The following is a 25,253-nucleotide window of genomic DNA, read 5'->3' as shown; positions in this document are numbered from 1 at the left end:
AGGAAATTTGATCCAACTACTTCCCATGCTTGAAGAGGCAGAGAAGTCTAGAGGCTGAAAGAAGCTTCCTGGACAACACATAGAGACCCAGTTAATAGACAGGATGTGGATCATCCACATTCAAAGGAACATGATGGGCCCTGACACATTAGCAGTAGACACAACACGGGATACCATCCACAGACAAGACAGGAAGGCTAGAGCTCAGGGGAGTCCAAAGAAGTCACATGGCCCCAGATTCCTTCTCCCAGTACCATGTGCATTCATTTTCTAGGGCTGTCATAGCAAAGCACCACAGACTGAGTGGCTTAAACAAGAGATTTATTGTCTCACCGTTCTGGAGCCTAGAAGTTTGAGATCAAGGTGCCAGCAGGGTTGATTCCTTTTGAGAGCTGTGGGGGAGAATCTGTCCCATGCCTCTTTCTTAGCTACTGATGATTTTCTATCAATCTTTGATACTTATTATCTTTTAAAAATATCACCCCTGATCTCTGCCTTCATTTTTCACATGATGTTTTCCCTATGTGCATGTCTGTCTCTAAATTTTCCTTTTTTTTTTTATAAGAACACCAGTCATACTGGATTATGCTGCACCCTAATGACATTTTAAATTGATTACCTATTTAAAGAAACTATCTCCAAATAAAGTCACATTCTGAGCTATTGCATGTTAAGAATTCAACATATGAATTTTGGGGGGACACAACTCAATTCATAGCACCGTGTATCTAAAACTCTCAGGAGAATGGGAGGAGAAGAAATCTGAATTTGACTAAAGATTTAATAAGAGACTGAACTAAAAACGGCATGACTGAGTTAGCTTGTGTGTCAAACAGGCTTTAATGTGGCCCCTGCGATCGCCAACTCCTGAAAATCTTGTCTTTATATAATCCCCTCCTCTTGAGTATGGATGGGACTTCTGACTTGCTTCTAACCAAAAGAATATGGCAAGATGATGGAATGTCACGCCTGTGGTCATATCACATATATAAGACACCATTTTGCTGGTAGACTCACTCTCCCTTGCTGGCTTTGAAGAAGCAAGCTTTTGTTGAAAGAGAGCTTATGGGCCAGGCACGGTGGCTCACGCCTGTAATCCCCGCACTTTGGGAGGCCAAGGCGGGTGGATCACCTGAGGTCAGGAGTTTGAGACCAGCCTGGCCAACATGGCGAAACCCCATCTCCATTACAAAAAATACAAAAATTAGCTGGGCATGGTGGTGTGCACCTGTAATTCCAGGTACTTGGGAGACTGAGGCAGGGCATCTCCTGAACCTGGAAGGCAGAGGTTGCAGTGAGCTGAGATGGTGCCACTGCATTCCAGCAGCCTGGGCAACAGAGCAAGACTCTGTCAAAACAAACAAACAAACAAACAAACAAAAACACAAAAGCTTATGAAGAGGGTCATATGACAGGAGGCTGTGGGTGAACTTTAGGAGCCGAGAGTGAGAGCTATCAGGAAGCTGGAGCACTCAGTTTTACAAGCACAAGAAAATAAATTCTACTATAACCTAAGTAAGTTTGGAAACGGACCCATTGCCAATGGAGCCTCTGGAAGAGAAGCAAGCCTGGGCCAACATTTTGATTGCAGCCTTGCTGAGGACTCAGCTAAGCCATGCCCAGACTTCTGACCCGCAGAGGTTGTGAGATAGGAAATGTGTGGTGTTTTAAGCTGTTAGAAAAAGAAAGAAGGAAGAAGAGGAAGAACAAGAACAAGAAAAAGTAGGAAGGGGGAGGGGAAAGGGAAAGAGGAGGAAGAAGAGAGGAGGAAGAGGCCAAGAAGGGGGAGGAGTCAAGAGAACAGAAGCTATTATCTTCCTTTCTTTCCAAGTTCCCCTCACCACAAGCTTATGATAGGGTGTGTGTGGCTTTAGTTAGAATATAAGACTGCATCTTAAAACTAGATGAATTAAGCTTTGGTCACTTAAAGGAATCTACTTCAGAAAGGGATTTTCAGTGGAGCATCTTTGGAGATAAGTAATTAAAGAAATGCCAGAATTATTTTATATTTATATCCTACTGAATTAAGATTCCTTCCTAAAACCTGATACACACATGCACAGAAAATATATATTTCACATCACATTCCTGATTAAAATCCTGCCAAGCCCCTCTATTTTCTGCAAAATAGATGACAACTTCTTAGGCTGGCATGCCAAATGCTTAATCATTGGCCCCCACCAATTCTGCCAAGCCTAATTTCCAGCCACTACTCTGCAGACTGCAGGGACTAGGTATATCAAGTGAAATAGGTGTCCATGCAGGGCTTCCACTGAACCACCTGTTGAGTGAAGCAACACTCTCTGTTCTCTCTGTTAAATACATTGACACATTGAGACTTAACCACTAGTAGGCTGTCTTCTAGTGCAGTGGTTCTCAAACTTTTTGGGACCAGGGACTGGTTTTGTGGAAGACAATTTTTTCCATGGACTCATGGGGAGGTGAGTTTTCAGGAGCTGAAGAGATGTGTGGTCCATTCTGGGAATCCGTCTAACCACAGTTTCCAGAGAAAACAGGCATGCCACAAAGTGTTCTTCTATACCATTTAATTAAATATGAGATGGTTATTACATACATTGTACGCTTATATACTAAGCAGCTCTGCGAAATGTTTGTAATGCATGTGGATAGTACACGGTTAAATCAGAGATCTTCACTGTAGTGAACAATGGATATTTTAAAGAATAGTCCCAACAATAAACCACAGAGCTGACAAAAATGCCACCTAATCTGCATCATTTCCAGGAGCTCTGCCACATATTCTTCCTGGCCCGTACCAAGTCTCTTAGCCCCTCTAGAAGAGCTAAGAAAATGCAGGTGTGCACCTCTGAACAGCCCATACTTGGCTTTTCTGAAGCAAATTCCCATGGAAACCACATTGAAGGAAGAGGCAAAGGCTGGTAGGAAATCAGCTGAATCAGCCTGGGTGCCCTAGACCCAGTCATGTTTGTTGGACCAAATTAGCTGTCTTTTCATTTCATGCTATATAGAACTGGCAGTTTACACTTCTGATTAATACATTGTCTCCGATCAGGAGGTTTATTTTTTTTTCCTAATAAAATCTGAAAGGAGATTGGGCAGAACCAATTAGTAATCTTACATTACACATTGTCCCTAGGTATATAATCAAGAATTAACAGCAGTTATGATTATATGATTATAATACATGCATTTTAAATACTACAGTAACAGACAGAGGCTCAGACACTAAATTCCAAAGATAACATATGCCAAACAACATTGAAACAAAGGATTTTAGAGCTGGAGATATCTCGATGTTTTTCTATGGTCATCTCTTCATTTCTTCAAGAGATTGTCTATTTATACCAGGGATACAAAATTATGGCTCCCAGTTCTGACTTAACGTGTGAGGTTGGGTAATTTACCTGTCTTCCTGTGTCCCAGTTTTCCCATAAGTCAAAGAAAATAACAATAAATACTTCAAAGAACTTCTGTGAATAAGGTATCAGAGACCTGGCATGAGATTTTGTGGAGCCTCCTATTTGAGACTTGACTCCCATTTCTACAAAAGGTAAAGAACACCTGCCCACTGATGAAAAATGTCTTCTGCTGCCTACAAACCAGGCAGATTCTACTTTTCCTCCATGTAAATTTACATCATTTTTGTGGCATTTGCCCTGTCTCCAACAGGGCACTTTCAATATGGCTCTTTTATAGCATTTTATAATATAATAATAATTTGTTTACCAAGCAGTCACTTTCATTAGGTTTTGCAATTTATGAGGCAGAATGCCATCCTTTTATGTGTCTTTAGGTCCCCTGTGCCTAACAGTATGATTGACATGTAGCAGGCTTTCCATAAATGCCTATCAAGGAGGTGGAAGGAATGCTTATGGAAGTGCTTTGAAAATTGCAAAAGCACTAGGCAAACCTAAGGGATTATGGCATTGTATTTATTACTGCTGGTGCAGAGGAGAGCACTTTGGAAAGTAAAACATTCACCTGAAGAATAAGATGGTCTGATCTTACCAGTCCTTTAAGCCAACAGATAAGGTCCATTCATCCACAGTTAAAACCCCATTCACAGACAACACAAAACAAAACAAACAAGAAAACTAAAATATCAGAAACACCTAGTCCCCCTAAATAAAGTAAAAACAGAACAAAGAAGAAAATTCAAAACAGAAAAACAGTAGCAACAAATCTCAAACAAAACCATGAACCTATGACCCCTTCTCTAGTTTTCTGTGCAGCATCTGCCCTTTGTGGTTCTGTGAACAGCCAGGGTTTGGAGGCCTGTGGGAGATGGGTTTGCTGCACTTTGCTGAGCTGACATTACTCAGTTGCCTTGACTTTGAGTTAGTCATTAGAAGTCAGTCTAGACCAAGAAAGGCAAGATGATATATGTCAAGCATTAATAATACGTCTCTTCCGTATATCTTCAAGATTGTAGCCACAGTCAGTTCACTCATTGCATGTACTTGTAACTCTTTCTCCCTGAAGTTTGTGGCAGCCTCTATTGCTGGAGAACTTGGGACAATTTAGGGATGAATTTAGGTTGGGGTAGTGTCTATACACATGGGAGGGGTCATGCCTCCTCTCACTCGTCAAACGTACCCATGTCCAGGGTCAGCGACAGTTTCCTCTGAGATCATGGACGGATGCAGTTGGGTGGTAGCAGCAAGAGAATCACTGTCTTGGTAACAAACAAGAGAAATTGTGAGTTTCTAATTTATTCCCTCTTGAGCCTATTTTCAGAAAAATGAAACCAAATGGGCTTCATGGCTTTTTCTTGACTTCTTTACCTTCTTTTGACATGGCTGGTCATGGGACTTCACACCCGCAAGACTGTTTCTCCCCCTCTTTCTTTCTCATAGCCATTTTAATTTAAGTGATGATATGTATGTTCACATTTGTCTGGGGACAGTCCTAGTTTTTGCTCATTGTCCCGGAGGGATTATATGTAAGTTTCCCTTTCACTTTCCAAACTGACTCAGTTTGGATCATAAATTATCTAGGCACACCCTGTTACTAGTGACGTTTGGCACTCAAGAATGGGGCAGTCCTCAGTGAAGAGAAAGGCACATGGCTCAGGGAACTGCAATTAGACTCCCAGCCATCATATCTTGGCCCCTCCCTTCACTGTGTGAACAACTTGGACAAGTTACTTAACTCCTTAGTTCTGAATTTAATGATCTATAAAAAAGAGAGTAGTCGTAGTAATTGCACACACCTCCCAGGATTATTGTCAGGATGGAGTGAGACAAGGTGCGCAGAGCACTTGCAAAGCACTGGATATATATTAAATCCTAATAATGGCAACTATCATTTTTTATTTTCCTTTCTTTCTTTCCTCTCATGCTCTCTTCCTGCCTTCCTCACTCCTCAATCATTTCCTTTACTCTTTCATTCTTTCCTCTTTTTTTTTTAAATAGCTGAATCATTGGGTCACCTTAAACCTTGTGACCAAATCCACATGGTAGAAGCAGGATGCTCTTGACTCATGTTGAGTGCCACTGAACTCAGGAAGAGTGGTCAAAGCAATGTTTCAGAATCTTGCAGACTGTGTAGTGGGGTTTTGCTAATTTTGTCTTCTCTGTGCTGTGAGGGAGACTAGGAACTCTAGACTTCCCTTTTAAATCATCTTTGTCGCTCACGGTAAGTTCAGTCTGGGTTTCTTACACTTCACTGGTTTTGGTAGAAGCTGGACATGGTGACATATGCTTCTTCTTGATTTGATCCCAGGGAAGTAAGAATGGGCTGACCCTGAGCAACTGGGTTCAATGTCAGGATTCCAGATTGGAGAGAAAATGGAGGGGGCAGCGTGCTGTTTGTAGTCCCAAGGCTAAGCAGGAGGTCCTGGTACACATGAGGCCCATTCTTGCCACTCTCCCTGCAGTCTAGGGACCTGGAAGAGGAGAGAATAGGGGCGTCACATGCACTGACATTCCCAGCCAGGCATGTGAGGGATGAATCTCTTCCAAAGCTTTCTGGAGTGATGACTACATCCTCAGATGGGCAGTTGGGGCTCTGCACATCCCCTCCAAGCCTCTGCTTCTCAGATTCTTCTAGTTGCTGAGGAAACGTATCTTGCAGAAAACCTTCCACTTCATCTCTAGCTTGAATGTCATCCACCCTATGAATCTGGCAGTCCAGGAAACTTTCAGGATTGAAACTCACATTTAAATTCTGCACAGAAAAAGGAGAAAGGGTATTAAGATGGCACCAGAGAGACACACCATCAAATGTTCAGTTCAGGAGTAGGTCTATAGAGTTTTCTGACAGGGAATGTCACAGAATTGCCAGCATGTTCCTCAATGGACTCTTTGCTTCTGGAGCTTCTGAGACACTTCAAGACTTGAAGTGACCACTGGCTGTGCCCTCCAGCCCCAGGGAGCCCAGAAGTTCTGAGATGTGTATCTTATTTCAGTTCCCTACTGCAGCTAGGGTCTTAGGAGGGACCCTAGTTACAGGATGAATCAAATACCAAAAGGTGAGGTTCAACTGTTCCTTGTCCTGGAATATCATTCTTGGCCACTGGGATGTTGCCAACACAACACTTTTTAAGCACCAAAAACACTCACTTTTCTTGGTTTCTTACAAAGATGTTCCAGAGTCTTCTTATGATCGGGGAGACTGGGCCATACGATAGGCTTAATCCTGAAATCAGAGAACATTGATAGATGAAGTGAATGGCAGAGGGCACAGGCACACTGAGTCTTCCCACTTATTCTGAGCTTGGAATCAGAAGAACAGATTTCTAGTCTTGGCTCTAACACAATTAGGTGGGTGACCATGGTCAAGAGACTGGCTTTCTCTGGGCCTCGGGGCCCTATCAATTCAAGGAGGGGTTGGACCAGAGACCACAGATATCAATCCATTCTGTGAACAAGACATGACAATAATATACCTCTGGGAAAAAGCCCTAGAGGGAAGGAACACCAAGGCTTGCAAGGAGGTAATTTTGGTGCAGCTATGGAAGTAAATTTAACCCCGTTGTTTACTCCCAATTTAAGTGTTGTCTTTTTATTTCTTCTCTTTACTGACAGCAACTCTGGCAGCTAATTTTGGTGGAAGTGGGGGAATATTTTCAAATTACCCAGGGAAATTGCTTAGTACTTTCCAGGCAGTACTTTTCAAATTAGGGTATTTGTAATCCTGGGGATATGTAGCCTTCTGCCAAGGGCATTCTCCTAGAATAGTAAGTAATTTAACAAGTGCATGTTTAAAACATCATTTTTATGATGAAACAAACATAGCCTTAGCATGGATTAGTATAAAAAATCCCATGAATTTATATGCTTAAAGTCAAGACTTCAAGTACATTGTGCATTTGCCATGAATGATGGCTTCTGCAACCTTTAGGAGATACTGGAAGAAAAGCTTGGGAAACATTGCATTACGGAATTCTTACTTTGGGGACAGCGTTTGCCTAATGTCCAGTTAATATCTTTTTGCCTCTTATGAAATTAACTGTGGAAATTCGCTGAGGATAGATAGGGATACTGGGCACTAAATTCGTGAAATGCCTTAATCCCCTTTGTGGTTTTCTCATCAATAAATGGGGCTTAAGCTCTGACTGTCCGTGATCCCACACAATCACCCTCTTTATTAGTTGAAGAAGGTCACCTTTTTTTCCATAACACACAGGCCAAGATGACCAACAGAGCGACAGAGAAAAAACTCAAAATGCTGATGGTTAGTAAGATAGGATCCATCTCCCCTGGAAAGCAAGAATAGATTGTGGTGAGCATTCAGTAGCCATGCAGTGGGGGTAGGGTCTCAGGGTGCTTTGCATTTACTTAGTAATGTGGGCCCACTTATTATTTCCTGAAAGTTGCTTTTCAGTTAAGAGACATATTTGACAGCTTTATGGAGGGATTTTGGTTTAAAAGGCATTGACTTGGGTGACCAGGCCCAGAGCATCTGCCACTTGAAATGTAAACGTGATCTAGCATCAAAGGTACCAATGCTCTCTTCCCTTCTTGACTTTCTACCAAGGAAAAGAAGCCAGAGCAGGAGATGATGAGAGGGATGTTCACCCCTGTTGCAAATTTTAGGGAGGAGATGTCTCAGTTCCTACACATTCTCAGTTCCAGTCCCAAAGACATCTTCATCCTTCTGGAAAAGGAGACATAGGACAGCCGCACTTGCCTGCATACCTGACACCAATAAAGGTGCTTCTTAAAGGGGCCTTAGAGACAGCAGCCATTGGGGTCCCAGGCTAAATTGGTTAACTGGACGTAGTGGGTGGGGATTTTGTTCAAAATGTATGGCAGCTTCCAGGAATACAGATGGCTTGTACTAATTCTCAGCTAATAAGGACCCCACTCCCTCTGCTTCCTTGTTCTTCACAAAAGGCGCAAAGACAGCAGGCAAGTCATTCTCCAAAGAAAGTGTAAGAGTGCCCTCCAAGGGTGTCCTATTTTGCAGGTTAGTTTCAACAATCTTCCTCTCACTTGCTCCCACACTTTGACATGCAAAGCACTCTGAGGGAACAAAAACTCTACCACCATTCCTTACCTGAGCTATTATTGATCTCTGGAGTTCTGAAGTAATAACTTGGACTCCATTCACTCCAGAAGCCTTTAAAATAGTGATCAGGGATGGATCGAACTTTAATCTCATACATTGCTGCCGGTTGGAGCTTTCTCTGCAGGAGTGTCAGCTTTGTGCTGGATAAATTCACATGCTAGAGAGTAGAGTGCAGTTACATTCTTAGGATGGGAAAAGAGGTGTTGCCTAAATCTCCCAAATCATTTCAATTGGGATTCCTTTAGTCCCATAAGCATTCTCTGAAGTTGTCTCGTATTTGTTAGAATAAGGAGCTCTGATACGTAAAGGAGTCAACAGCAAAATTAGGGACAGAATCTGAGCTTATAAAGGATGTTGTGAGTGGTCAAGGAGGAGAGTGAAATGATGGGTCTTATTCAGGTGAGTTAGGCACTGCCCAGGATCTCCCTTTCCACACTTCAATATCTTCTTCTTTTCTCTCTATCCTTTCACATATTAAGGGGAGATGAAAGGTTAGGTTAGGTTAGTGAGCAGGAATCATTTCTCTCCAGAAAGACGCCATTTTACATTGTGAATAGTGATAAAGAGACAAAAGTCTCCACCACACAGTGTATTATCTTTAAGATTAAAAAAAAACCACTCTATCAATTTGACAGATAAAAAGAAGTCCATTGCTATTTATATCTGTATTTATTTGATAATTAGTTCATTTTCATATATTTATTGAATTTATCTATTCCATACTTTATGAGATTTTTCCCAATTTTTTTGCTCATTTTTCTATTGTGATATTTGTTTTTTTAATGATTTATAAGAGTCCTTTATCTATTAATGATACTAACCATCTATCAGCTGTTTATGTGGCAATTTAAGCTTACTTTTAAATTTGCATTTTTGATTTTTGATTATTGTGTGTGTTGACATATATAAACCTCCACTTTTTATGTAGTTGCATGTCTCAATCCTTTCTTTTCTTCTACAGCTTTGATGCTTAGAATGTTCTTCTTCATGTCAAGATTATGTAAACATTTGGCTATAATTTTTCTAATTTGTTTAGAGTTTCACTTTTATATAATTTCCTTAAATCATCTGGTATTTTGTTGTTGTTATATGAAGGTGGCTAGGCATTTAGTTTAATTTTTTTTAATTAAAACAATTTTTGGCTGGCGTGTTGGCTTATGCCTGTAATCCCAGCACTTTGGGAGGCTGAGGTGGGCAGATCACCTGAGGTGAGGAGTTCAAGACCAGCCTGGCCAACATGGTGAAACCCCAGCTCTACAAAAATACAAAAATTAGCCGGGCATGATGGCGGGTGCCTGTAATCACAGGTACTTGGGAGGCTGAGATGGGAGAATTGCTTGAACCCGGGAGGCGGAGGTTGCAGTGAGCCAAGATGGCGCCATTGCACTCCAACCTGGATGACTGAGCAAGACTCCATCTCAAAAAAATTCATGTATTTATTGAATTTATCTATTTTTCTTTTTAGTTAACTAATTGTCCTGGCAGCATTTATTCATAATCCTTCCTTTCTCCACTAAGTTGCTTTTCAATTGGTGCAATTTTCAGATGAATAATGAAAGATGGCAGGATCAAGGGTGGGGTGGGTGAGTAGAAGGAGGGAGCAGGTGGTTTGGGGCAGTTGTTACATTTATGCAAGTGGCATCTTGCATCACACTGCAAACAAACAAGGCCAATCTTGGCCTGAAAAAACAGGACAGCAAGAATAAGAAGGACTTGAGGAAGAGAAATCATCATCTCTTCTTCATCTCTGAGGTGCAGAAAGAACAGAAGTTAGGTTGGTGGGTTAAGAGAAATCTCATAACCTGGTACACTCCACTCTTCTGCCACCTCCTCCCCAAAATAAATTTCAGGGACTGCCAAATCATTCCAACCTCAACAAATCATGAAGAGAGCATCTAAGTAACTCTCCTGATTATGAAGGGTAAAAATTAAGCTGTTACTTCAAAAACAAAGACCTTGGGCTTTAAAATAAAAACAAAACAAAGGCAAACATTATGCCTCTTTTCTTTACCTCATGCTGGTCCCATGAATCTCATAAGCCAGAATGTGGCTACGACTTGGTGATCATAAGCAGATATACATTTTGCCTGATTTGCCTATGAAAGTGGCACTAGACATGACACTTTTTGAGGCCCCTGAATACAGAGGATTAATTTGGCCTCAATCTATATTGTTATCCAACTCACTAATGTAGAAACATTCTGAAGACCAAAATTAGAGCAGAAGAAAACAACCAGAGCTAGAAGAGTATGCATCAGGGAAGATCCAGGTTTTCATGGGGCCAATATTGGGAGATTCTTTCAGTAGAAGGTAGATTTTGAAAGCAAAATTGTTGGGCCCTCCCAGGGGAAATGCACTACTAGGCCAACAAAATAGAAAACATTCATAAGTTTTTATTTTATTAATGTAGTTGAACTACATACCGTCCATTTGTTTTCATCCTTTTCCTGGCGGTAAGCTACATCGTGCATTAAAACTTTTACATACTTCTTTTGCAAGTGTGATGTATTAAATGTCACCACAAAGTCATTGGCTCCTTCCCGATAGACGACACTCAGGTCAAAAGGAGCCTCAGGTTTAACTGGAAAAGAAAAAGAAATAAATTCTGTCTAAAGGGCAGCCAAGGAAATAATTATAGTATTTAAAATTCATCTCCTCTGCAAGTCACTTTGACCCTTTTTGTGTCAGTAAATGGCCAACTATTCAGAAAACCATTTCTTCTTCTTGGGTTTAAATCCAGTCCGCATTCTCCAGCCTCTCTTGCAGTGGGGTGTGGCCTTGTGAGTGAGGTGGGCAGAAGAAATGCACATCCACTTCCACCCTGGGCCAGACACACACCCATGTGTGACTCCTCTGCTCCGTCCTCTTCCACCACTTGGAGTCCTGCATTACAGACGGTGGAGCCACAAGATGGAAAGTGCCCCTAATACTGCTGGGAGAAGCCCCAGCTGCAGGTTAGAAACATCCATTTTGACTCTGATGTGAGTGAGAAATAAACCTACGGTGTTTGAGATATCATATGTTTGGGGGCTTATTTGTTACAGCAGCTAGTGTTAATTTTACACTAAAACACATCCACTTTGCCTTTTGAATATTGGAGAACTTGTTACTAATGAGCCCCAAAGCAGGAGTATTTAAACTCTGAGTCTTTATTCTTGTAATAAAATTAGGTTATATGCTGTGAACCTTGCACCTCGTCTCAGCTACAGTGACATGAAGGGTCTGCATCCTGGCCCTGGCTAAGACCTTCCAGAATGTCCTCAGGGGGTCCCCTCTGTCAGTCTCACTGCCTTAATGCTGAATTCCTCTTGGGCCTCTCCCTACTGCCTTCCTGCCTTGCAGGGTTGCTGTTAGTATCAAATGCTCCACACATGCTAAGCTGTTGGAGGGAGATTGGTATTATTTCAGGCAGAACAAACCCAGAGAAAGGTATTGATTTCCTAGAAAGGTCCTGAGACTTCCCTGTCCTGGCCTCTTGGCTGCTTGTTGGTCACAGCCTGGGAAGTTAGTTGTCTGGGGGTGGGGGTGCTACTTCTTGCATGACTGATCTCAGGCGCAGTTGTTCACAAGAAGATGCGGGTTCATCAGACTTTCACTCAGTAGAGTGTGAGCTGGGATTTAAAGTTACTTGCCGGCCCAATAAAATGCAGCCCACATGGCAGAGTTTGGCCTAGCTCTTGTTGTAGTCACTTATTCGTAGTGGTGACTGCCTGTTTCTGCTGCTTTGCCTTAGAGGTACTGAAAAAAAAGTAATGACTTTGTTTTTCACCCTTGGATGGGTTGTAAAAGGGGAAGTTTATCAAAAGGGAAAATGCCCTGGACTTAGAGGGAAGCAGGAGGAAAGGCAGTGGGTGGAGAACAGCCGAACAGAGAATGCTGGCAATGCCTTTGCCCCTCTCTCTTGTTCCTGCTCTCCATTCCATTCTCAACAAGGCCTTCTGAGCTGAAGCCCCTGCCCTGTGCCCATCTTTTAATAATAGAGGAATTGAAGGAAGAACACATCTCCTAAGTACTGCATGCTTTGCTTATGCTGTCTTCAAACAATAGTCACTTATCACCAGCATATTGATAAGGAAACTGAATTTCAGAGAAGTTAATTACATTCAGGCCCCTGTAAAATGGTTTAAAGGGATCCAAATCCAGTTCTTTGATTCTGAGGCTCACTCTTCTTCATTTAGCTTTTGTTTCTCTACCTTGTTACATATCACAACGGCTGGTCCTCGTGCCCTCTGGACAGTTTTCCTCAAGCTCAAATGATTTCTTTGAGCAAATTAGAAAAAGGGGCTCATTCATCAAGCAATACTTCAGAGGGAATAGATTCTTGTACAATCTGAATAATCATATCAATCTACTCTGCTAAGAGAAGTGGGAAGGCAGGATGCTTCCCTCTTCAGCCTTACTGGGTTGGAAGATGCTTAAACAAGGGGAAGTGAGGGTGCAGGTGGTGGCAGTGGAGCACTGGCTCTGGGGCTCAATCAGAAGCATCCAGTTTAAACTCACTTAAATGGTAGTTCCATTAATGAAGTGTCCCATTAGGACCTAGAAGGAGATGCTACCGTGAGACATGCCTCCACCACCTCTCTTCCTGCTTGTCCAGGGGTGCTTGCCATAGCCCCAAGAGACTCACACTACCCCTTCCAAAGGGGCCTATGCCATCAGCAGTGTGTGTACCATACGTACCTCTCCCCCTTGCCGTTCGGAGGAGGCATGTCAGATTTGCAGTCTGCTGGGGGATGGAGACTGCAAGTGCATTGAGCATGTGGGATATGGGGATTTGGAGGTGGCAGATGTCACCTGGAGGCTCTTGGTGTGTTGTGAGTGCTTATGTGCATGTAAGGGCTTGCATGCTGGTGTGGAGTTTTGTAAGAATGGGCTCTCCCCTGATGCTCCAGGACCTTGTCAGAAGACTGAGAACCTCTGCCTTCTCTGCTCACTCTCAGAGAACTGAATGTATATTTGCAATGTAAATGGTGAACCTTTAGATATGGTGCCCTATCCATAGGGACCTCATCTCCAAATGATCAGAACCCAACTTTTTATAACCTCAGAGATACCCTGTTGTTGTCAAAGCCAGTTCTCTTCCCCTAACCAGGACCCACACTGGTCATGGCCAATGCTGCTTCTGTGTGGCCAACATGCACAGCCATCTGCCTAATGTCTCTTTTCTACTACATTTGCCTTTTCACAAGTTAATTGTTCACACATGGAACTTCTGCTTTACCTCTCTATTTTATCATCTTAGTGAAACAAAACTGAGACAAAGCTGAGCTAGGTTTCTTACTCTTTCTTATCTCTAATGAGTATTGCTCTCTTACCTTTAATTTTCTTTTTGAGGGTTGAAGGGGGAGCGAATAGGGAATGCTAAAAGTATTTTTAAGACATGGTTAACATTTAAATCAGTAAACTTTGAGTAAAGTAGATTGCCTTCCGTGATGTGGTGGGCATCACCTCATCAGTAGAAGGCCTCTAGAGCAAAGACAGAGGTTCCCTGAAGAAGAAGCAAGTCTGTCTCAAGAGTACAATACAGAAAATCTGCTTGAGTTTCTTGCCCTGCGGAATTTAGGCTCAATACTGCACTCTTTCCTGAATTTCTAGCCTACTGGCTTGCCTTATGGATTTTTGCGATTGCCAGTTCCCACAACCACAAAAGTCAATTTCTTAATAGAAATCTCTCCTATCAATGATCTATCTATCTATCCTCCTATTGATTCCCTTTTTTTTTTGTAGAAAACTCTGACTAATAGAGAAGGCATATATGCTTTTTAAAATAACTTGATAAGTTAGCTAAACTTACTCAGAATGTTGTGGGGATTTGGGGAGAAGACCACAAGGAATTTGGGAGAAGGACAGGTAAGGAAGGAAAGGACAGATAAGGAAGGAAAGGACACCTGTGATGGATGACAGGAAGCCCAGCTCCAGTTAGCCACTTCATGTAGGTTTGCACAAACACTATCTTTCACACCTGGGTTTGAAGATCCTCAGAATTCTTTCACTGCAGGAAAGTATAAATTTCAAGCTTTTCATTTATTATAAAAATTTACAGTAGGGAATTAGCTATTATCTATTGCCAGTTGTTTCCACTATTTGTCTACTTTTAACCTACAGAATGTCCAGACACAGTGTTTTCAGGTAGCCCAAAAGTGACAACCATACTTTTATATACAACTTCTTACCTATAGTGGTTAGGTCTATTTTTTTGCAGGTTAGACTCTTTTCTCCAACCTTCACACATATATTGCTCTTTCCAATCAGTAAGAATTTCTTTGTCTCGATGAAATATATCTCTTGTAGTTTCCTGAAATTCAGGCACTTTACCTCCACGAGGGCCCCACTGTAGGAATAAAAAGGGGATATGTCTTGATTCAGGTAGGAGTTCCTGTATGCAGTGGAATAGTATCATATGCACATTGATGTATGTTTGACTTTAACTCTGTTCATAGGTATGTGGGTGGGTGAGTGGAGGCATGTTCAGGAATGAGAGATAATGAATTAAAATCTTATGGCTTTCTGCTGCTATGATACTTAGTGATGATTTACTTAGAATTAGATGCAATTGAACCTGAAATAGTCAAGACATATTTATAAAATTATGGGAAATTTCTATATTTTTATAATTGATCACTGAAAAACAAATACTTTGTTTAGATTAAAAAGTAATTGCTTTTTTTGATGTTCCATAGGAATATATGTAAGAAATAAGAGCTGTAAAAAATATTGATTAAAAAAAGTGTTAAAGAAAATGATAACATAGTATAAAGGGTTATATACATAATATCACATATACTTGATGGGTAACGTAATGGATTTTTATAGGTAATTTTGGCTGGTGAACCCTAACAAGAGTGGTTAAGAAAACAAAATATATAAATTACTAATATCTGGAATGTAAGAGGAGATATCACTATAGAACATGCAGATGTTAAAAGTATAATAAGGAAATTTTAAATGCTATTTTAATGTATATAATAACTTAGATGTAATGAAAATGTTTTTATAAACACAAATTAGTAAATCTGACCCACATAGAAATGGAATATTTCAACAGTTATATTTCTCTCAAAGAAATTAAACTTATTATCAATAAACTTCCCCCCAAAGAAAACTCTATGCTTGATGGTTATATTCTGGTAAATTCTATCAAATGTATAAGGAAAGAAATAGTGTCAATCTGACACAAATTATTTTAGAAACTGGAAGAGGAATGACCCTTCTCAACCTATTTTTTGAAGCTAGCTTAATCCTGGTACCCAAACCTGGCCAAAATATTAGAGAAAAGAAGTTGATAGACAAATATCCCTCAAAAATGTATAAGCAAACTTTCACAAGAAAATACTAACACACTAATTTTAATACATAATTATAAAGTAGGGCACATCTCAGGAAACCAAAGCAGGTTAAAGATTCAAAAATTAATCAATATAATTTGCCATGTTAACAGACTAGAAGACATAAATAACCTGGTTATAATCAATCAATGCATTCAAAGCATAATTTAATAACATGAATGCATCTATTCATGTTAAAAACTCACAGCAAATAAGAAATAGAAAGACACTTCCTCAATCTGATAAAGAGCATTTACAAAAGCCTATAGTTAATATCATATTTAGTGCTGAAATTGTGAACATGAATTGTTTCCCTAAGACCAGGACACGACAGGAATATCCACTTTCACCATTTCTATTCAGTGGTGTACAGGAGGTTTTAGCCAATGCATAAGACAAGAGAAACAAATAAACACAATTTGATTTGCGTTTCTCTGATGGCCATTGATGATGAGCATTTTTTCATGTGTCTTTTGGCTGCATAAATGTCTTCTTTTGAGAAGTGTCTGTTCATATCCTTTGCCCACTTTTTGATGGGGTTGTTTGTTTTTTTCTTGTAAATTTGTTTGAGTTCATTGTAGATTCTGGATATTAGCCATCAATGGCCATCAGAGAAATGCAAATCAAAACCACAATGACATACCATCTCACACCAGTTAGAATGGTGATCATTAAAAAGTCAGGAAACAAAAGGTGCTGGAGGGAATGTGGAGAAATAGGAACACTTTTACACTGTTGGTGGGACTGTAAACTAGTTCAACCATTGTGGAAGACAGTGTGGCGAGTCCTCAAGGATCCAGAGCTAGAAATACTATTTGACCCAGCCATCCCATTACTGGGTATATACCCAAAGGAGTATAAATCATGCTGCTATAAAGACACATGCACATGTACGATTATTGCAGCACTATTCACAATAGCAAAGACTTGGAACCAAGCCAAATGTCCATCAATGATAGACTGGATTAAGAAAATGTGGCACATATACACCATGGAATACTATGCAGCCATAAAAAAGGATGAGTTCATGTCCTTTATAGGGACATGGATGAAGCTGGAAACCATCATTCTCAGCAAACTATCACAAGGACAAAAAATCAAACACTGCATGTTCTCACTCATAGATGGGAATTGAACGATAAGAGCACTTGGACACAGGAAGGGGAACATCACACACCAGGGCCAGTCATAGGTGGAAGGAGGGGGGAGGGATAGCATTAGGAGATATACCTAATGTAAATGACGAGTTAATCGGTGCAGCACACCAACATGGCACATGTATACATATGTAACAAACCTACACGTTGTGCACATGTACCCTAGAACTTAAAGTATAATAATAATTAAAAAAACTAAATATAAAGGCTAAAACTGTAGAACATTTAAAAGAAAACATGAGAAAATATCTTCCCAACTTTGGGAGTAGGCAAAGTTATCTTAGCAAGGATACAAAAAGCACTACATATAAAAGAAAATAAATGATATATTAGACTCCATCAAAATAAAAAAAAACTCTTGCTTATTAAAACGCACCAGTAAGAAAATAAAATGGCAAACTTCAGAATAGAAAATAGATGCAATACATCTATCTGACAAAGGAAATGTATACAGAATGTATAAAGAACTCATATCCAGCAATAACAAAAGGACAAATAACTCAGTGCTTTTAACAGATACTAGCCCAAAGAAGACAGGCAAAAGACCAAGTATATGAAAAGCTGCTCAACATTTGTTATTTGACAAATGCGAATTAAAAACCTAACGAGATACTATCCCAAAGTCAAACGTTGCAAATGATGTATATCTCTCATGCATCGCTGGAAGGAGAGTAGAATGGTATAACCACTTTGAAAAACTGTTGGGCGGTTTCTTATAAACTTAGATACATGCTTACCTTATGACACAGCAATTCCATTCTGAGGTTTTATACCCCAGAAAAATGAAAATATATATACACAAACTGATTTGTCCAAGAATGTGAACAGCAACCTAAAAAATAATAGTCTCAAACTTGAAAAAACACAAATGTTCATCAAGAAGAGAAAGAATTAAAAATTTGTGGTATATTCATACAGTGGAATTACTACTTAGCAATTGAAAAGATGAGCTATGAGATGGACATCAACATGGCTAACTCTCACAAACACTGGTTAAATGAAAGAAGACAGAAAAGAATAAAGAGTATTCTATTAATAAGAACTATCAGAAACTGGCAAAAACCAAAGGGTAATAGAATTGAGAATTATGATTGCTCCTGGGGTATGAAGATTGACTGGAAAGGAACATGAAGCATCCTTCTAGGGGAAAAATAAGTTCTATATCTTTACCATTGGAATGGCTACAGGTCATAGACATTTCTCCAAATTCACTTAATTTTTGTGCATTTTACCACACATAAATTTTACCCCTAAAATGCATTGTAATCAAACAAGAAAGCAAAGAAAAATAAGTAAATAATGTAAAAATTAAAGAAGTAACAAAGGTATATATTCTCATTGTAAAGGTAGAATAAAAGTAATATCATAGGGTTATTTTCCTTTCCCAACCCTAAATTTAATTTTCCTCTTCTGTGATAAACACAGTTACCAATTTGTTTTTCCTATGTGCTGTTTAAGCTCAGCCAAATAGCTCTAAAGAGGTATAACTGGGTCAAATTGGAAGTGAAGATCTGGGCAGAAGAAAAGTTCCTCTGGGTAAGTTTGCGTATATGAAAGAATTCTTTCCATTAACCGATGTAATTTTGTTTAAATCCTAAGGAGTGTGTTCTAGGAAGGCCTTTTACTACCTACAACCCACAATGTGTGTTGGCTTCCCTTGGTGAACTGGATGTGTGTACACTCTTCTCTGCATGTGCTCAAATGAGTCCTTTCGAGAATGGTTCCTGGACTCTGCACAAAAAGAGGAACCTGTTTGTCTGGCTTCGAGTGAGCTGGCCAGGAGGTTAAATGCAGGGGAGAGTGCCCTAGCTTTTGTTACAGAATCTTTCACCTTTGGTTTATTGTGGTCTGAGAGTGACTGGTTAAGCTCCTACAGTCATGAAAACTAGAGATTGGTGAAGAAATGTTAAGTTAATTAACTGGCTAAATGTATTGATTATTTTGGGGACATTCCTTAAAACTGTTCTCCCAAATCGTTACTTTTGTTAACTGCTATCTTTTAGAGTGTGCGATTGTTTAGGCTTTAAAGAGTAGGTGTGTATGTGTGTGTGTGTCTCAAAGTTACTAGGGAGTTGTGTTCCTTGTTGGGGTAGATAGGCTTTCCCAACTTGGAACAGGATAAAAATAAAAACCGAATTTTTGGGTAAGCTAGACAGATACCAGGGAATAAGCTTAGGACAAACATCAGGTGGAAAGATCTGAAGATGGTAATGTTGTCACGATTTGATAAATAAATATAGAAGGGGAGACTGGGAGCGGGGTCCCATTTCTGAATTTTAGGTAAACATGGGATGTGGAGAAACTAGGACAATAACTTTTAGTTCAATTCTTGAGTATAGAATATATTTGTAAGGAAAGTATGTGTGAAATATCCAATTACAGGCCCCAACCTGTAGCAAGTTTCTGGTACTGTTGGGAATTTAAGGAGGATCTAAAATGGTATTCTCAGCTCATTCCCATGATTTTGAGAATGAAATTAATGAGCAATGGACAATCAAGGATGACCGTATGGCTGTCTTGTGAAACTGGGCATCCTTTTAAGGGCTCTGAACTCCAGGAGTTCATCTATTAAAGAGCTCATACATATATTTTCCACTGAAAACGTTTCTTTCTTAAGGCAGTCCCTTTCCAACTGAAATATCTGAATCCAATTGGAAAACCCAAATAGAGGAGGCTCTGGACAGATTACAATATGACAGGAAAAGTCAAGAGATATGTTAAAGGGTAAGTATGTTTGAGTGGGCAAGGAAGTGGTCAAATATGGTGTGAATGAAAGTGAACAGAAAGGTCAACCTCAGCTTGGCCAAGAGAAACCAGGATGAACACTCAGCCCACCAGCCAGCTGGTTAAAGAAGCCAAAGTCAAACCTCCGTGTGGGAGAGTGATTTGCCCATGAAAATGAGTGCCTTGTTTGAATGAGTTGTTATGGCTGTTTTAGTGCAATCCATTTCCAGCCTAGATTGTGGACATCGAACTGGTTCAGGTTCTTTTGACATATTTTATTCCTGGAAAATGTGTTAGGGAAGTGAACAGAGGCAGACAGAGAACACAGTACACTACTCAAGTCCAACAGCATGTTTATCTAAGGACTGCAGCAGAAAGCACTCCATAAATAGATGCAGGAAGCTCCCATAAATTGACAAAAACTGGAATTCAGGGCTTGTTTGGACTATAGACTGTGGAGAATTGTCTCAGTGTCTATGGAATGTAGGAAGCCTTCTATTACTACTGGTGGATCTTGATTTACTTTGCTCACTAGGACACTAACTAAAAAGTAGGTCATTCGGATATGAATTTGGAGATAGCCTCAGGTCAGAATTTCAAGCTAGAGTAGTTTCTCAAATCACCAGAGATAGTAACCCTTGGCAACAAGAGATGACTTATGGATGAAGGAGAAGGAGAAGATAAAGTTCCCTGAGACCTTTAGTAAACTTTCAAACCAGACTCTTTTCCTTTGTCTTTTCTGTGAGACCTTGTGAAACAAAATGCCAACTTATTCCTGTGGATTTTTGGAAAATTTACATTGAGAGGATCATCTGAAGTCAAATTGTGTCAAGATGGTAGAAGTTAGGTCAATATTCACAGAATTATAATTTAATGTTGCTTCCCCATTACTCGTTATTCACTGGCCGACTATTTGGAATGATTTATATGATGAAATTATTTAACCATCACAGCCTTCCTGTGAGGCAGGTTATCTCATTTTACAGGTGAGGAAACTGAGGCATAGATACATTACATAACTTTCTCTAGGTCAAAAAACTAGTAAGCACTGGTATTGGGATTGGAAACAAGGCAGTTTAACTCTCAGATGCAACTTGAAGACACTGGATTGTCTCGTGTTGGGCAAACAGATTTTTGGTGAGAAGTGTTGTAGGAGACGCAGGATTTAAATTCTGATATGAAGTTGGGAGGGATGTGGGATCCCCAAGATCCAGAGCATCATTTGACTGAGTCTCAGGGTCTGAAAGCTGAACCGTGAGAGGAGATTTGTATGAGTGTTTTTGGTGAAGGACAAGGAGTTTCAGGAGGCCTTTGGGAATTCCTTAGATGTTAACATTTGTTAATTAGGCCACATATTCTTTCTTTTGTGGCTATTAAAAAGAGCATATGAAAAGAGAGACAGAGGATGTCTAAGCAACCATTAAAACCACCATCCCTCACCATATTTCAAATTCCAGATTGGTGATGTTGACATCTGGGTCCTCAAAAGCACAGGTCAGTGAGTGCTGCGATCCATTCACTTCCAACTGGCTATAGCATGAGAATGAGTAGTCATCCAGTTCTGCATCTTCCAAGTCTCCTGGGGAGGAACAAACATGCAGCTGTTAATGAAACAAATAAATGCATCCTTTTGAAATATGGCATGACCTTAATAAAATAGCAGACTCTGTGGCAGACATGAAATAGTAATGGATTATGTAGTATTCAAGGAAGAAAAGCCCAAGGGCAAAGACAAGAAAAATGCTTCAAAACCAACCAACCAACAAAAAACAAAAAACAAAAACGCTCAATGCTAACAGAGTTTTCCAATAGAAAAAAAAAATCCATCATAATGAGTAAGTAACCTCCAAATATTTCTGAGTTAAAGAACCAGAGGCATTGAACACATTCTTTTCTGTATTTAAACTGGAGTTTTTTCTGCTACATTTGTTACATTGATTGTTCATATTATTTCAAAGAAGAGACACTTTATTTCCATTATCCCCATGCTACCTAATCTCACTTTTCACTTTATTACAAATCATAATTTATTCCCTCCCTAGTATTTTTTTTGTCTTAAATGAAGGACAATGATAGCTATCTTGCAGTCAGAATTTTGCTTTTTTAAGAGGTCACTTTCCCTTGCCTAAAAAGGCATCCCAATTAAAAGTGGCACTGATTATTTCCATTGTCTTAAGCTACTGACTGAGACAAACGTGATTAGGGAAAAAAAATTAGATCTGGCAGGACTCCGATTTGGTGAAACTTCCTGTGAATGTTGTACATACTGCTTCTGTTCTTATAGATTCTTCTATAGACGCAGTATCTGATAGATTCTAGCAGGATGCTGGAAGAAAGTGGGGAACCAGATTTTTTTTTTTTTTGCTATTACTTTTGGAAAGTGTGATCTGTCACACATAGTATTTGGTTTCTTAAGCTGTTTTGTAGACCCTATAATGAAATCTACATTTTGTATGTATGTTTTACATGATAGAAAGTGAGGCTGGAATAAATATGTCAGAAAATATACACCCACTGGGACCTGAGAAAATCTGGAGTAAGCAAAGCCATTCTCAGAGTGCTCAAGTGTGAGCCTAGGACTGCTTCCATGTATTTTTGGTTCATCAGTACTAGAAATTAGATGCTTCCAAGGCTTTACACTGGAGACAGAATATACTAAAATCAAATCCCAGTTGATTGTCCCAGAGACCAAGGGCTGTCCGAATAGCACTTTCTTTACTTAAATAACTCAGTAGGGAAAATGGGAAAGTTAATAAAGCTGACTGTGAATGGACCAACCAGTTGAATGACAGGTTGGTTCAGTCAAAGCAACAAATCTCAAACAGCCCTAGCTAGACCATGGGTGTGGGCACTGCTCACAACCACAGGCATTTGTTTTTCTGGCCATTCCCAGAATCCATCCAGTTCACAGTTCTGCCACCAGCAAAAGCTCTTTATGTAGTTTCAGCAGGGTATGGCCCTCCTTCTGATGACAGCACGAAATAATGAGAGACAGCCCACTAATTTTGTAGACTTAGATTTCTTCCCTGTGCAGTGGTAGCTTTCTAAATGCAGTGGTTCTGACCTTACATGGCAGTCCTCACACTGTCCTGACATTTTCTCTTCCACCAATTCTATACACAGAACATGTATTATTATTTGGATTCAGACATCCTGTGGGTCGGCTTTGTCTTCACGATTCTTCAATAGAGACAGCACACTCTAGCAGATGTCAGCACCCACATAACAAAGGACTCCCACTGCCACTCAGTCTGGCAAAGCATACAATATACAATGAGCCATTTATACACTGTTTCCTGCACCTAAAATGGCTGTGTTTTAGGAAGCAGCTCACTGGCTTTTCAGTAGATATTATGGGGCAGAGTTGCTTTGTAACCAAGAAAAATTCCCTTCAATGACTTATAAAATGTGATGGCATTTTACAAAAAGAATATTCTACATGACGTGAGCTGAAAAATTCTTGGCTAAGAGTAGTTAATGTACACAGTGGTTAAGACCTGTGGTGTTAGAGCTGGACAGATGTGCGTTTAAATTCTGGATACTCTACCTGTGGTCCTCTGTCAGGTAGGCAACTTCTCTAAGACATGTGTTCTAATATGTAAACTCGTGCTATGAGCAATCACTGAATGGATATTTACAAAGAGGTAGCTTAGAACACAGTAAGGATTTAATAGGGATTAGCTATGAGTATAATATTTTCTGAGAAATAAGTAATGAAAAGGTAAAATAAGAATTCTAATTCTGAAAATATACATGAAACATTTGAGCTTCTCTTTAAAAAGTTTATGTCAATTGACGGTGTTATAATTACTATGGTTTTGAAATTACATAGAGCTTTTGAATAATGAGTTAATCTATTATTCTTTAAATGCTCAATAATTAATATTATTCATATTTAAATAGGTATCTAGACATATTTATCCATAAAAATTTAAATTGTGTGGAATATGTATCATAGGCAAGCCAGTGTCATCTAGAAGTCTTCTTCCTACTGAATGGAGTTAGTTGATTAATAGTGTAAATGATTTGGATTTTTAAAAAGTATCCCTTTCTTCTCTTGATCATCCTTGTGATGATCAGAAAATTGACAACTTTCAACAAGCAGCAACTGAATGTGAATTCCTATACCCCAAACTGGGAAGTATTTTGACGTAATCATGTGAATAGGGTAATTATACATCTTCTAAAAAATCTGAAACTTAAAAAGTTGGAGTGAAAACCCAGCTTTCAACTAGCATTCTTATATATTTTAAAAATAGTATGATCACCAGGGTGAACTAGTGAGTATAGATGACATGAAAGAGAGTAAGATTTATGTTTCCTGCCTCCCATCAGTCTTTGTGGAAATCCAAGGCAAAGTTTAGCATAGAATAATAATCATCCCCCATAAAGTGAGTCATATACTGTAAAAAATGTCAAACTCTCTGACAATTCCCTTAATGAGAAAATTCTAGGGATTTCCATCCTTCGTAATTACATGACTCAAAATGCATAAGCTGAGTCATTAGGCTGATGTGTTTGATATTGTCTATAGCCAAATAGTTTTTAACTCTTAAAGAGAAAGGGCTTAATTTGCAGGAGCAAGTTGATGGTCTAAATTCCCACATGCCTCCTGCTGCTGTTAGAAGCTTCTGCCTAGTTTTGTTATAATTACAATGTGTTTATGTATGGGCAGGGTTGGCTTCTCGGTACTAAGTTTTTTAGATCCCAAAAAGAATTATTACATATGGCCAATTTGTTGGTGTGGAGGCAATTCAGTGTATTTCAATGAGTAAACTCATTTAGATCTTTCTCTAGTCAGTTATTTACTTAAAATCTCACATAAATCTCTCAAAACTAAAGTATTTTGAAAACACTTTCAAAAGTTATTGGATGTCTACTATATTCTAGCCACTGATTTAGGTGCTGAGGATATAGCACTGGTCACTGAAGACAAAGCTATTGCTTCTGTACATTACCTTATCCTGAAAGTTATGCTTTCAGGATTTCTTAAAAAGTCAAACAAAATGAATCCAGTTTGATCTCCTGACAAGGTAAAATTACTTTGGACATTTTCCTACAAGTACAGTCATAGCATCTACATGAGCATTCTTTTTGTAAGAGCAGAGTAATCATTCAACATTTAAGATCTACACTTGGGAGTGAAATGCATTCCTTCTTGAGAATACTGAGGTCTTATAAACCACCCATAGTATTGATCCCCTGCCCCCTGTCATGGTGGTTAAACATTAAAAAAAATGACTGAATATGTGGGAAATTCTCAAACTGCATTCAAACCCAGTGCCTGACTCAGGTCTGTTAGGGAACTGAATAACCTGAAACCATGCTACAGATAATCCAAAATCCATAAGAAAACTTAGAAATGACTCACCATTTTGAGCATAGCCACTTTCTCCAGAAACGACTTGAAGTAAAGAAAAAACCATGCCAAAAGTTGTACCTAGAATTGTCATTCTGAGAGAGATAGAGAGAGAGAGTAGATGTGTGAGCCAGTGTGTATGAAATGAATGAGAGTAAGAGGAAGGGAGGGAGGGAGGAAGACAGAGAAGCT

General features: G+C 39.5%; 1 protein-coding gene across 6 annotated transcripts, besides 2 other annotated features; it reads right to left on the bottom strand.

Moving 5' to 3' along the window:
* Positions 1–2,529: 2,529 nt before the first annotated feature.
* IL7R (interleukin 7 receptor) lies at positions 2,530–25,242 on the bottom strand. 6 transcript variants are annotated; one of them, NM_002185.5, is made up of 8 exons: positions 25,074–25,242; positions 21,143–21,281; positions 14,670–14,827; positions 10,920–11,077; positions 8,485–8,653; positions 7,591–7,684; positions 6,546–6,621; positions 2,530–6,150 (listed from the first exon to the last, which is right to left on the bottom strand). In NM_002185.5, the coding sequence occupies exons 1-8, from the start codon at positions 25,153–25,155 to the stop codon at positions 5,647–5,649; spliced, it is 1,380 nt and encodes a 459-aa protein (NP_002176.2). In that variant the 5' UTR covers positions 25,156–25,242; the 3' UTR covers positions 2,530–5,646. The 6 variants fall into 6 exon arrangements, 5 of the variants coding, with proteins under 5 accessions (NP_002176.2, NP_001424893.1, NP_001397663.1 ...); NM_001437964.1 differs by having other exon boundaries at positions 2,530–6,621; NM_001410734.1 differs by lacking the exon at positions 7,591–7,684.
* Positions 12,316–12,365: an enhancer, noted in NCBI's record as "active region_22471". NCBI's record gives its function as "activates an Ori minimal core promoter by ATAC-STARR-seq in GM12878 lymphoblastoid cells {active_cell/tissue: GM12878}" and the evidence as "EXISTENCE:reporter gene assay evidence [ECO:0000049][PMID:35858748]".
* Positions 20,939–21,440: an enhancer, noted in NCBI's record as "NANOG hESC enhancer chr5:35860795-35861296 (GRCh37/hg19 assembly coordinates)". NCBI's record gives its function as "activates a minimal SCP1, AML or CMV promoter by ChIP-STARR-seq in primed H9 embryonic stem cells {active_cell/tissue: H9 hESC(primed)}" and the evidence as "EXISTENCE:reporter gene assay evidence [ECO:0000049][PMID:30033119]".

Source organism: Homo sapiens, chromosome 5, assembly GCF_000001405.40.
Source record: "Homo sapiens chromosome 5, GRCh38.p14 Primary Assembly".
Taxonomy (NCBI): domain Eukaryota; kingdom Metazoa; phylum Chordata; class Mammalia; order Primates; family Hominidae; genus Homo; species Homo sapiens.
The sequence above is the reverse complement of the archived record's forward strand: the minus strand, read 5'-3'. Positions and strand labels throughout refer to the sequence as shown.